Below are 12,828 nucleotides of genomic sequence, written 5' to 3'. Positions count from 1 at the left end.
ATCACAGCTCACTGCAGCCTTGACTTCCCTGGACTCAGTGAGCCTCCCGCCTCAGCCTCCCAAGTAGCTGGAACTACAGGCAGGTGCCACCACACCCGGCTAATTTTTGTATTTTTAGTAGAGACGGAGTTTCACCATATTGGTCAGGCTGGTCTCAAACTCCTGACCTCATGATCCACCCACCTCAGCCTCCCAAAGTACTGGGATTACAGGCGTAAGCCATTGCACCTGGCCCATTTGTATAACTTCTTTCGTGATGTGTGTATTTGAATCTTGGGTTGTTTGTCTTCTTGTTGAGTTGTAGTAGCTCTTTATCTATTCTGGATACAACTCCTTTATCAAATACATGTTTGCAAATACTTTTTAGTCTAGTCAGTAGCTTTCAATTCATTTTCTTTTGTTGTTGTTTTTAAATAAATTCAGCTTTTACTTTTTTCCATTTGTAATTGTGATCATAATTTTTTTTAATTTTTAAAAATTTCAATAGGTTTTTGGGAAACAGATGGTGTTTGGTTACATAAATAAGTTATTTAGTGGTGATTTCTGAGATTTAAGTGTACCCATCACCTGAGCAGTGTACACTGTACCCAATGTGTAGTCTTGTTTTTTTTTTTGAGACGGAGTCTCGCTCTGTCACCCAGGCTGGAGTGTGGTGGCACGAACTTGGCTCACTGCAAGCTCTGCCTCCCTGGGTTCACGCCATTCTCCTGTCTCAGCCTCCTGAGTAGCTGGGACTACAGGTACCCGCCCCCACGCCTGGCTAATTTTTCATATTTTTAGTAGAGACGGGGTTTCACTGTTAGCTGGGATGGTCTCGATCTCCAGACCTCGTGATCCGCCCACCTCAGCCTCCCAAAGGGCTGGAATTACAGGCGTGAACCACTGCGCCCGGCCCCAGTGTGTAGTCCTTTATCACTCACCCCGCTTCCCACTTTTTCCTCTGAGTCCCCAAAGTCCATTGCATCATTCTTATGCCTTTGTGTCCTCATAGCTTAGCTCCCACAACTTTTACTTTAGACTCAGGGGGTACATGTGCAGGTTTGTTACATGGGTATATTGCGTGAATGTTGTGGTTGGGGGTATGATTGATCCCATCACCCAGATATTGAGCACAGTGCCCAATAGTCAGTTTTTCAGCCCTTTCCTCCTTTTCTCCCTCCTGCTTCCCGTACTCCCCAGTGTCTTTTGTTGCCATCTTTCTGGCCATAAGTACCCAATGTTTAGCTCCCACTTACAAGTGAGAACACGTGGTATTTGGTTTTCTATTCTTGCATTAATTTGCTTAGGATAATAGCCTCCAGCTGCATCCGTGTTGTTGCAAAGGACATTATTTCATTATTTTTTATGGCTGTCTAGTATTCCATGGTGTGTATGGACCACATTTTCTTTATCCAAAACACTGTTGGTGGTCATGTCATGGAATCAAGTTGATTCCATGTTTTTGCTATTGTGAATGGCACTGTGATGGATATGAGTGCATGTATCTTTTTGGTAGAACAATTTATTTTCTTTTGGGTGTATACCGAGTAATGGGATTGCTGGGTTGAATGGTAGTTCTGTTTTGTTTTGTTTTTTAATTTTTTTTTTTTTTTGAGACAGAGTTTCACTCTTGTTGCCCAGGCTGGAGTGCAATGGCACAATCTCAGCTCACTGCAACCTCCACCTCCCAGGTTCAAGCGATTCTCCTGCCTCAGCCTCCCAAGTAGCTGGGATTACAGCCACCCGCTGCCATGCCTGGCTAATGTTTTGTATTTTTAGTAGAGACGGGGTTTCACCATGTTGGCCAGGCTGGTCTTGAACTCCTGACCTCAGGTGATCCACCCACCAAGGCCTCCCAAAGTGCTAGGGTTACGGGTGTGAGCCACCGCGCCCGGCCAGTTCTTATTTTGTTCGTTTTTGTTTTTTTGAGACAAGGTCTCACTGTCACCCAGGCTGGAGTGCAGTGGTGTGATCACAGCTCACTGCAGCCTTGACCTCCCTGGACTCAGTGATCCTCCCGCCTCAGCCTCCCAAGTAGCTGGAACTACAGGTACATGCCACCATGCCTGGTTAAGTTTTGTATTTTTTGTAGAGATGGGGTTTTCCCATGTTGCCCAGGCTGGTCTGAACTCTTGAGCTCAAGTGATCTGCCCACCTCAGCCTCCCAAAGTTCTGGGATTACAGGCATGAGTCACTGCGCCCGGCCAATTTGAGATCTAACTTTTTTTTTTTTTTTTGAGATGGAGTCTTGCTCTGTCGCCCAGGCTGGAGTGCAGTGGCATGATCTGGGCCCACTGCAAGCTCTGCCTCCCAGGTTCATGCCATTCTCCTGCCTCAGCCTCCTGAGTAGCTGGGACTACAGGCGCCCACCACCACACCCGGCTAATTTTTTGTATTTTTAGTAGAGATGGGGTTTCACCATGTTAGCCAAGATGGTCTCGATCTCCTGACCTCGTGATCTGCCCACCTCGGCCTCCCAAAGTGCTGGGATTACAGGCGTGAACCACTGCACCAGGCCGAGATCTAACTTTTTGAGGTAGGCATTTAGTGCTGTAAACATTCCTCTTGGAATGTTTTCATTTATTTCAAAGAATATTTTGATTTCTGCCTTAATTTTATTGCTTACCCAAAAGTCATTCAGGAGTAAGTTGTTTAATTTCTATGTAATTGTGTGGTTTTGAAGATCTTCTTGTTTTGATTTCTATTTTTATGCCACTGAGGTGTGAGAATATGGTTGGCATGATTTCGATTTTTTTGAATTTATAGAGACTTGCTTTATGGCCAAGCATGTGGTTGATCTTGGAGTGTGTACTGTGTTCAGATGAGAAGAATGTATATTCTGAGGTTGGTGGTTGGAGTATTCTGTAAATGTCTATTAGGTCCAATTGGTCAGGTGTCGAATTTAAGTCCTGAATTTCTTTGTTAGTATTTTGCCTTGTTGATCTGTCTAATGCTGTCATTGGGGTGTTAAAGTCTCCCAATATTATTATGTGGTTGTCTATGTCTTTTTGTAGGTCTAGAAGTACTTGTTTTATGAATCTAAGTGCTCCAATGTTGTGTGCATATATATATTTAGAATAGTTAAGTCTTCTTGTTGAATTGAATCCTTTATCTGAGAGGGATATCCAATCTTTTGGCTTCCCTGGGCCACACTGGAAGAAGAATTGTCTTGGCTCAAACATAAAATACACTAACACTAACAATAGCTAATGAACTAAAAAAAAAAAACACACATAAAAAAACCTCATAATGTTTTAAGGCAGTTTATGAATTTGTGTTGGGCTGCATTCAAAGCTGTCCTGGGCCACATGCAGCCCATGGGTCACAGGTTGGACAAGCTTCCTTTATCATTATGTAATGCCATTCTTTGTCCCTTTAAAAAAAAAAAAAAAAAAACTTTGTTGGATTAAAGTCTGTTTTATCTAAGAATAGTGACCCTTGCTCTTTTTGAAGAAAGATCCATTTGTGTGATCTTTCTTCAACCCTTTATGTTAAGCCTGTTGGTATCATTATGTGTGAGATGGGCCTCTTGAAGACAGCAGACAGACAGGTCTTGTTTTTTCATCCAACTTGCAGCTCTGTGCCTTTTAAGTGGGCCGTTTAGACTGTTTACATTCAAGGTTAATATTGATATGTGAGATTTTGATCCTATCATGAAGTTACTAGCTGGTTGCTTTGTAGTTTCTATTATGCAGTTGCTTTATAGAATCTGTCAGCTATTCACCTAACTGTATTTTTGTGGTAGCAGGTATTGTTCTTTTATTTCCATGTTTAGAACTCCCTTAAGGATCTCTTGTAAGGCTAGTTTAGTGGTAACAAATTCCCTTAGCACGCTTGTCTGGAAAAGCTTTTATTTCTCCTTCAACTATGAAGTTTATTTATTTTATTTTATTTTATTTTATTTTTCAGATGGAGTTTCGCTCTTTCGTCATGCTGGAGTGCAGTGGCATGATCTCAGCTCACTGCCACCTCCGCCTCCCAGGTTCAAGCGATTCTCCTGCCTCAGCCTCCCAAGTAGCTGGGACTACAGGTGCATGCCACTGTGCTCAGCTAATTCTTGTATTTTTAGTAGAGACGGGGTTTCACTGTGTTAGCCAGGATGGTCTCGATCCCCTGACCTCGTGATCCACCCGCCTCGGCCTCCCAAAGTGCTGGGATTACAGGTGTGAGCCACTGCGCCCGGCCTACATTTTTATTTATTTATTTTTTTGAGACACAGTCTTGCTCTGTTGCCCAGGCTGAAGTGCAGCAGTGCAGTCTCAATTCACTGCAATCTCAGCCTCCTGGGTTCAAGCAATTCTAATGCCCCAGTCTCCTGAATAGCTGGGACTACAGGTGCATGCCACCACGCCTGGCTAATTTTTGTATTTGTATTTGTATTTTTTTATTTTGAAATGAAGTCTTGCTCAGTCGTCCAGGCTGGAGTGCAGTGGTGGGATCACAGCTCACTGCAACCTCTGCCTCCCAGGTTCAAGCAATTCTCCTGCCTCAGCCTCCTGAGTAGCTGGGATTACAGGCACCCACCACCATGCCTGTCTAATTTTTGTATTTTTAGTAGAGATGGGGTTTCACCATGTTGGCCAGGCTGGTCTTGAACTCCTGACTTCAGATGATCCACCTGCCTCAGCCTCCCAAAGTGCTAGGATTACAGGCATAAACCACTGTGCCTGGCCTAATTTTTTTTTTAGTAGAGACAACGTTTCACCATGTTGGTCAGGCTGGTCTCGAACTCCTGGCCTCAAGTGATTCGCCCGCCTTGGCCTCTCAAGTGCTGGGATTACAGGCATGAACCACTGTGCCTGGCCTTGTTCATTTTTAAAAATTACCTTTTTTATATATTTGTCTGACTAGGTTAGTTCAAAAGACCAAACTTCAAGCTCCAAAATTCTTTCTTCTCATGGTCCAGTCATTGATAAAGCTTTCAATTGTATTTTGAAATTCTTTAAGTGAGTTTTTCTTTTTTTTTTTTTTTTTGAGATGGAGTCTTGCTCTGTCGCCCAGGCTGGAGTGCAGTGGCGCAATCTTGGCTCACTGCAAGCTCTGCCTCCCGCGTTCACGCCACTCTCCTGCCTCAGCCTCCTGAGTAGCTGGGACTACAGGCGCCCACGACCGTGTCCGGCTAGTTTTTTGTATTTTTAGTAGAGACGGGGTTTCACCATGTTAGCCAGGATGGTCTCAGTCTCCTGACCTCATGATCCGCCCGCCTCGGCCTCCCAAAGTGCTGGGATTACAGGCGTGAGCCACCACGCCCAGCCTGTTTTTCAATTCCAGAAGCTCTGACTGATTTATTTTCAAGATGTTTATCTATTCCTTCATTTTGTGGATTGCTTTAGAAGTTTCTTTAGGTTGATGTTCAACCTTGTCTTGGATCTTGTTGAGTTTCCTAGCAATCCATGCTTTGAATTCTTTATCTGTCATTTCTGAGTTTCAATTTTGGTTAAGGACTAGACATCTAGTGCGATCCTTTGGTGGTGTCACTACATTCAGATTTTTCATGGTGCCAGAATTCTTGCTTTGGTTCTTTCTCATCTGGAGATGCTGGCAATTCTAATTTGTGTGTGGGGGGACAGAATTTTTTTCTTTTTATTTCTTTCCCTATAATATCGGTTTTTTTTTTTTTTCCACCTTCCCTTTCCCTCTCCCCTGCCTAGGGGGTAATGACTGTAGAGAATATTAGATTGGGTCTTTTGGCTTTGCTTCTATAGCCTTGTATACTATCAGCAGATTTTATATTGGGTTGTGTGGTTTGATGTACAGGCCAGTAGATGGCACTTATAAGTAAGAGCCAGCTGTGGCCAGCGTGGCTGGGTATATTCTTGATCCTTGTTTACTGGCAGAAGCTCTCTGTTGCCTCAGGCAATGGGCTGATCCATGGAATGCACAGTGGCTTGAGCTCCCTGCTCAGTCCCAGGAGGTAAGATGAGTGGGGCTGGACCAGAGCAGGCCTGTCTACAGGTCCCTCAATGGCAGGCACAGCACCAACACCAAGGGAGAATCCAGTGGGCTGCCACCCAGTGCCCAGAGGTGTTGCTAGTTGTTGAGTTGGGAAACCTCCTTGGCCCCAAGTTCTATGCACAAGGAACCAGGGTGGCCTAAACTCCTAATCCAGGAGAGTGCATGCTCCAGGTGTCTGAGTGTGGAATGCAGAGGGCACTGCTGCACCACAATCTCTACACAGGGAGGGTGGGGTGGCAGGCTGCTAATTCATGTGAACGGATGCTCCGACTGCCTAGAGATCTGTCTGGGCATGGGGTGGATAGGGTGCCTCTTCACCATGGTCTCTATACAGGAAGGGTGTGCCAACTCAGACTGCAAATGCAGGCAAGCAGGTGCTCCAAATTCCTGAAGATCTGCCTGGGTGTGGAGCAGAGTGAGCCCCACTTCACTAGAGTGTCTGCACAGGAAGGATAGGGCAGCTCAGGCTGCTGATCTGGGTGAGTGGGTGCTCCAAATGCCTGGAGATCTCCCTGAGTGTTGAGCTGAGAGGGCCCCACTGCACCATGATCTCAGGAGAACAGTCTAGCATACCAAGCAATAACTCACTCAGACCAGTCCACAGGTCACCAAGCTGACCCTGGTTGCATCTTGTTGCCTAGGAGAAACCACAGCTGTAGCAGTCCCTTTCCCACCCCAGTCCTGTGACAGGGAAGAGCACATTGCCAGCACCTACTGCAAGGTGCTTTCTACAATTCTGGCTGTAGAAACCTCTATGCACCTCGAGAGCAGGCACTCCAATCTCTGGCCCAAGACTAAAATGCCTGTGTGGCCACGCTACTGTGTCGCCAAAGAATGACTAACTTTGTATGCCTGGATTAAAAGTGGCATCCTGGGCCTGGGAAATGCCTACAGCTTTTCCCAGTGTCTTTCCTTCTCAGTGTCTCCAAATATCTTCTCAAGTTACCTCCAGGACTTGGGAGAAACAAAGTGCTCTCCCTTGGCCTCTGTTGCTTGTATCTCCAGTGGAAAGGGCACTTTCCCAAAGTGCCCTTTCCACTGGATGGAAAGAGCCTGTCTGCCTCTCTCATGTACTGGGGCTTCACTCACTTTTATGAGCCAAATGCCATCACGGGGGCTGTTTGCCTTTGTTTTCCTCCCTGAGACCTAGGGTGTTCTTCATGATTCTGTTGGATTCCCATTTTCTTTCTTGAATTAAAGCCCACAGAGTTGATCTTTATGCACTACCTTGCAATTTCCAAGTGACTGAGGCACACTAACAGCCCCAAATCTGCCATCTTGGGGAAAAAAAAGGTTTTTGGTTTTTTTTTTTTTTTTGGAGACGGAGTCTTGCTCTGTCACTCAGGCTGGAGTACAGTGATATGATCTCAGCTCACTGCAACCCAGGACTCCTGGGTTCAAGCAATTCTCCTGCCTCAGCTTCCAGAGTAGCTGGGATTACAGGTGCACACCACCACACCCAGCTAATTTTTATGTTTTTAGTAGAGACAAGGTTTCACCATGTTGGCCAGGCTCATCTTGAACTCCTGACCTCAAGTGATCCACCCGCCTCAGGCTCCCAAAGTGCTGGGATTACAGGCATGAGCCACCGCACCCGGCCAACTTTTTTTTTTTTTTTAAGGTATGAAGTCTTGCTAAGTTGCCCAGGCTGGACTTCAGCTCCTGCAGTCAAGCAATCCTCTTGTTTCAGCCTCCCAATCAATTCATTTTCTTTTATGTCTATATTTGTGAGCAATATTAGTCTGTAGTACTTTTTTTTCTTTTCTTGTCATGTTTTTCTGGTTTTGGTACCAAGATAATGCTAACCTCAGCTGGGTGCGGTGGCTGATGCCTGTAATCCCAGCACTTTGGGAGGCCAAGGTGGGTGGATCACCTGGGGTCAGGAGTTTGAGAGCAGCCTGACCAACATGGTGAAACCCCATCTCTACTAAAAATACAAAAATTAGCTGCGCGTGGTGGCACGCACCTGTAGTCTCAGCTGCTAGGGAGGCTGAGGTGGGAGAATCACTTGAACCCAGGAGGTGGAGGTTGCAGTGAGCCGAGATCACGCCACTGCACTCTGGCCTGGGCAACAGAGTAAGACTCTGTCTCAGAAAAAATTAAAAAATAAAATAAAAATAATGCTAACCTCATAAAATGATTTGAGAAGTGTTCTTTACTATTCAATTTTTTGAAAGAGTTTTTATAGAACCGTATCTTTTTTTTCTTAAATGTTTGGCAGAACTCACCAATTAAACTATCTGGGGCTGGAGTTTTCTTTGAGGGAAAGGTTTTTTATATTATGAATCCAATTTCTTTAGTAGATTTACGGATATTCAAAGCTTTTTTTTTCTTTAGTGAGCATCGATAGGTTACGTATGTTAAAGAATTTGCCCATTTCATCTAATTTACCAACTTTATTGGCATAAAGGTTTTTCATATTGCTCTCTCATATTATTCCCACTGTAGAGTCTGTAGTCTCTTATTCTTCATATTGTTAGCTTGTCTTCTCTCTTTTCTTCCTGGTAAATATGGCTAGAGTTTTATCAATTGCATTAATCTTTTCAAAACATCAGATTTTAGTTGCATTGATTTTCTTCTATTTTTGTTTGTTTTCTATTGGTCTCTATTCTTATTCTTATTATTTCCTTCCTTCTGCTTATTTTGGGTTTTTTTGTTCTTCCTTTTCTAGTTTTTTCCTCTAAGCACTGATTTGGCAGCATCCTCAAAATTGTGATATGTTTCTATTTTTGCTCGGTTCAAAGTATTTCATAACTTTCCCTGTGATTTCTTTTTTGACTCAGGGTTATATGGAAGTATGTTGCTTAATTTGTAAAATATTTGGGAATTTTCCAAAGATCTCTCAATTATTGATTTATAGTTTAATACCATAGTGGTCAGAGAACATATTTTGTATTATTTTAGACTTCTTAGGGTAATTGATACTTGTTTTATGGCCCAAATTATGGTTTATATGATCATTGTTCCATATGCGTAGGGAATAATATGTGTCCTGTTGTTGGGTGAAGTGTTCTATGACTGTCAATGGAGTCAAGTTGGTTGATAGTATTTTTCAAAACCTCTATACTTTTTATTTTTTGCTACTTCTATCAACTCCTGCAAGAGAAGTGCTGGAATCTCCAACTATAATTTTGGATTTACCTATTCCTCCTTTCAGTTCTGGAAGCTTTTTACTTCATGTATTTTGAAGCAATGTTATTAGGTATATACACATTTAGAATTATGTTCTCCTTATTAATTGACATCTTTAGCATTATGGGATGTTCCTCCCTCTGTATGTTTGTGTGTGTGTGTGTGTGTGTGTGTGTGTGTGTGTGTGTGTCAGGGTATCTATCACCTAGGCTGGGGTGTAGTGGCGTGAACATGGCTCACTGCAGCCTTGACCTCCTGGGCTCAAGTGATCCTCCCATCTCAACCTCTCAAGTAGTTGGGATCCCAGGCATGCGCCACCATGCCTGGCTATTTTTTAAATTTTTTTGTAGAGCTAGGCTCTCACCATGTTGCCCAGGCTGGTCTCAAACTCCTGGGCTCAAGTGATCCTCCCACCTCAGCCTCCCAAATTGTTGGGATTACAGGCGTGAGCCACTGAGCCTGGCTTCCATTTGGTTATTGATTGGCTCTAATTTTTACAAATTTAAAATATTTTATTCAGGAAAATAACTTTTGCTAATTGCTTTTTCTTATTTGTAGACATTAATGTTTTGTTTGGGAGCATAACATTTAGTAATTTTTAAAAAGCAACAAGTAGGCCGGGCACGGTGGCTCACACCTGTAATCCCAGCACTTTGGGAGGCTAAGGTGGGTGGATCACGAGGTCAGGAGATCGAGACCATCCTCGCTAACACAGTGAAACCCCGTCTTTACTAAAAATACAAAAAATAAATTAGCCAGGCGTGGTGGCACGCACCTGTAATCCCAGCTACTCAGGAGGCTGAGCCAGGAGAATCACTTGAACCCAGGAAGTGGAGGTTGCAGTGACCGAGATCACACCACTGCACTCCAGCCTGGGCTACAGAGGGAGACTCCGTCTCAAAAAAAAAAAAAAAAAAAGAAAAGGCAACAAGTCAAGTAAATATATGTTAGGTAATGGACAAAAAGCTAGATAGTGGGGAGTCTCATCTCCTAATTCTTCTAATCAAACTGATGATGTCACTGGGGAAAAGAGGATCAGTTGGAACCTGGTGTTTGGCAGTTACCAGAGGAGCTGTGCCTGGGCAGAGGGTACCCAGGAGACACCCTGGTGCCCTTAACCTCCAAAGCAGGCAACATTGTGTGTCCAGGCCTGTGGACCAGAAACACAGGATGTTTTGTGACTGACAGAGTGATCCAAAATGGAGAAGGATGACCCCCCACAGTTGGTGACTCCCACATCAGTGAAAGCCATCATCCTGAGGATTGAGGCTGCCCAGCTAACTCGGGCTCAAGAGGTAGCCCCTGAGATGAAGGAATCACTCTTACATTGGGATCTGATGCGGAGACTGGGGGCTGATCCCAGGTTTGAGTGAGATTCCAGCTCTGGGTCCTCAGAGGCCCTGGGATATTCAGCAACCTGGGTCTGCAGACAGATTAGTATAAATTATCTCTCTCCTAAACTTGGCATATACAGGGTGAGCTGAAAGCAACCACCCGCCTGAGGCAGGGCTGGGGCCCGGGAAGGGGGCAGGAAGCTCGAGGATAGCCCTGAGGCACATCGTGGTGGTGTGGTGGGTTTTAGAGGGCAGGAGAAAGGACCCAGAATCTGTTCTTGGCAACCCTCCAGAATCCCCCAAGCTGAGCCCAGGAAGTTCATAGGGGTTGGGGAAATGTCCAAAGGCTCAAATCACCCTGTACACGAGGCTCTAGTACATTTTTTACTTGAGCCTCTGATCCTAGAGTTTCTTGGGGCCTCACTTTTCCAAGCTTCTGTTGCCTGTGGATCCTTGTGAGGAAAGACATCCAGAAACCCCCAGCAACCTCTGAAATTCTAAAGAAATGTTTGCTGTGGGGTTTTGGTGTTCTATACTTTCTTGACCTTCTTAATAATCACAATGATAATAAAAGCTACCACTTTTGTGTAATGTGCCAGGTACTATTAAAAGCACTTTAAAATATTTAATTCATTTAATCCTTACAGAAACCCTGTGACATAGGTACTATAATGATTCCCACTTTAAATATAAGAAAACTGAGACCCAAAGAGGCTAAGCGACTTGTCCAAGGTCACGCTGCTAGCATGTGGCTTCTGGCTCAAGTCCACAGCCCTAACACTACAATCTGCTGCTTCTCTATAGGATATTTCTACCCAGCTCTCAGACATTTTGGACAATGTCAATTGTGTCATCAACCGCTTCCAGGAAGAATTAGGATATGATTTAAAAGAAAATGCCAAATCTCAGCAGAGAGATCCAAAGGGCAAGAAGAGATTCATCTTGCTGGAAAAAATTGCCTCCTTCTCCAAAGATGCTATGATGAAGGAGAAGCACCTGTATGACATTCTCCGCTGGCTGGGTGACTGGGGTGAGTTTGCAGGCTGGGCACCGTGCCTCCTCTGGGAGGGGAGTGTGGGTGGCGAGCACAGGGACAGCACAGGACACATCCCCTTCTCCAGTGAAGCATTCCACCACTCGTGTCACAGCACATCACCTCCATGCTCCTGAGGGGCAGACACAGAAGTGTCCAAACATCACAGATCATGACATTAGCTGAATATATGATGAAGCCTAAGTCACGGGTCCATTATGACATCTCATTTTTGTGCAGGATAGAAACTAAATTCAAACCCACATTAGCTATTTTATAGAGCACCCCTGGGTGATATTCAAAGCACTGAATGACCTTTACTGCATGGGCCCTGATGCCAGCTGTGAGCAACTGGTGCAGCCATTTGGGTGTGGGCCAGCTGCATTAAACCCTAAAGCTAAGTGCTACCCCCCACTCAGCTCAGAGTCATCCCATCACAGGACCTGTGTGCTGTGTGCTGGATGCTCCAGTGTTGGAAGAAGATGGTATTGGTATGTGCCCTGCCCCCTGCATACTACCCCATGCTTGGAAGCTCTTAGTTCAGTGGTCCCTCAGCTGCCCTCAAGACTGACAGAGCTGTTGATTCTGCTTAATTAATTCAGTTGTCCAGATGTTGGACTAGGCAATCGGCATAGAGCAGTAACAAGTCAGATACCTCCCTGCTGTACAGACAATACTATTTAATGTCCATTGTGAATTTCTACATGGCAGGCCTCATGTTAACTGTTCCACATGTATTATCTCATTTAATCTTCACGCAGTTCTTTTATAGGGAAGGAAACTGAGGCTCAGGGGGATAAGTGACTTGCCCAACATCACATAGCTAGTAAGAGGTAAAATCAATGTGACTTCACAGCTGCTGGAACCCCTGTGCTATAGGGCTGTCTGTGTCCCCCTGGAGGACAGACTGCTCTCAGCCTGCACCTCCCATCCCTTCTCCAGGTGACACTCTGACCTATGAGATTGGGCCCAGGAAGAGTGAAGAGGAAGCAGCAGCTCTGGACGAATGGATTGAAGTGACGGAGAAAGTGTTACCGCTGTCCCTCATTGCCACCAAAAGAGGCATCGAGTCACTCACTGCCCTTTGCTCCACTCTCATTGAAGGACAAAAGAAAAGGTCACAAGGTAGGTTCTAGGAGCACCTGGCCAGGGAGCTAGGTGGGGACGGGGTGGAGCCATGGCAGGGGAAGTCAGAGGCTGGGCCTGGGGTCTTTCTGATTCTCCTCCATCACAGAAGTTTGATTTGAGATGGATGGGCAGTGGTGAGGGGCTGAGGGTTGAGCCCAGGCCAAGCACTGAGCAGCTCTGAGCTGTCCTTCAGCGCTAAGGGAGGTGTGATGTGGAGACAGGTCTCTGGTGTGCTCACTGGAGCTGTGGCCTCACGTAGGTTCTGAG

General features: G+C 45.0%; 1 protein-coding gene across 10 annotated transcripts in view; it reads left to right on the top strand.

Annotated features, from left to right (window-relative positions):
* The window catches only part of FAM186B (family with sequence similarity 186 member B), a 39,886-nt gene that overhangs the window by 7,016 nt on the left and 20,042 nt on the right, over window positions 1-12,828 (top strand). For 6 of the 10 annotated variants that reach the window (XM_011538797.4, XM_006719626.3, XM_006719625.3 and 3 more), the window contains exons 1-3: window positions 10,104-10,361; window positions 11,205-11,430; window positions 12,376-12,558. In XM_011538797.4, the coding sequence (XP_011537099.1) occupies window positions 10,266-10,361; window positions 11,205-11,430; window positions 12,376-12,558 (505 nt within the window). In that variant the 5' untranslated portion in view covers window positions 10,104-10,265. Of the gene's footprint in view, window positions 1-10,103; window positions 10,542-11,204; window positions 11,431-12,375; window positions 12,559-12,828 lie in introns of those variants that run through there. The other 4 variants (NR_027450.2, XM_047429641.1, XM_047429639.1 and 1 more) reach the window with 2 other exon arrangements.

The sequence above is a fragment of the Homo sapiens genome, chromosome 12, assembly GCF_000001405.40.
Source record: "Homo sapiens chromosome 12, GRCh38.p14 Primary Assembly".
In the NCBI taxonomy this organism is placed as follows: domain Eukaryota; kingdom Metazoa; phylum Chordata; class Mammalia; order Primates; family Hominidae; genus Homo; species Homo sapiens.
This window is presented reverse-complemented; position numbering and strand designations above follow the sequence as displayed.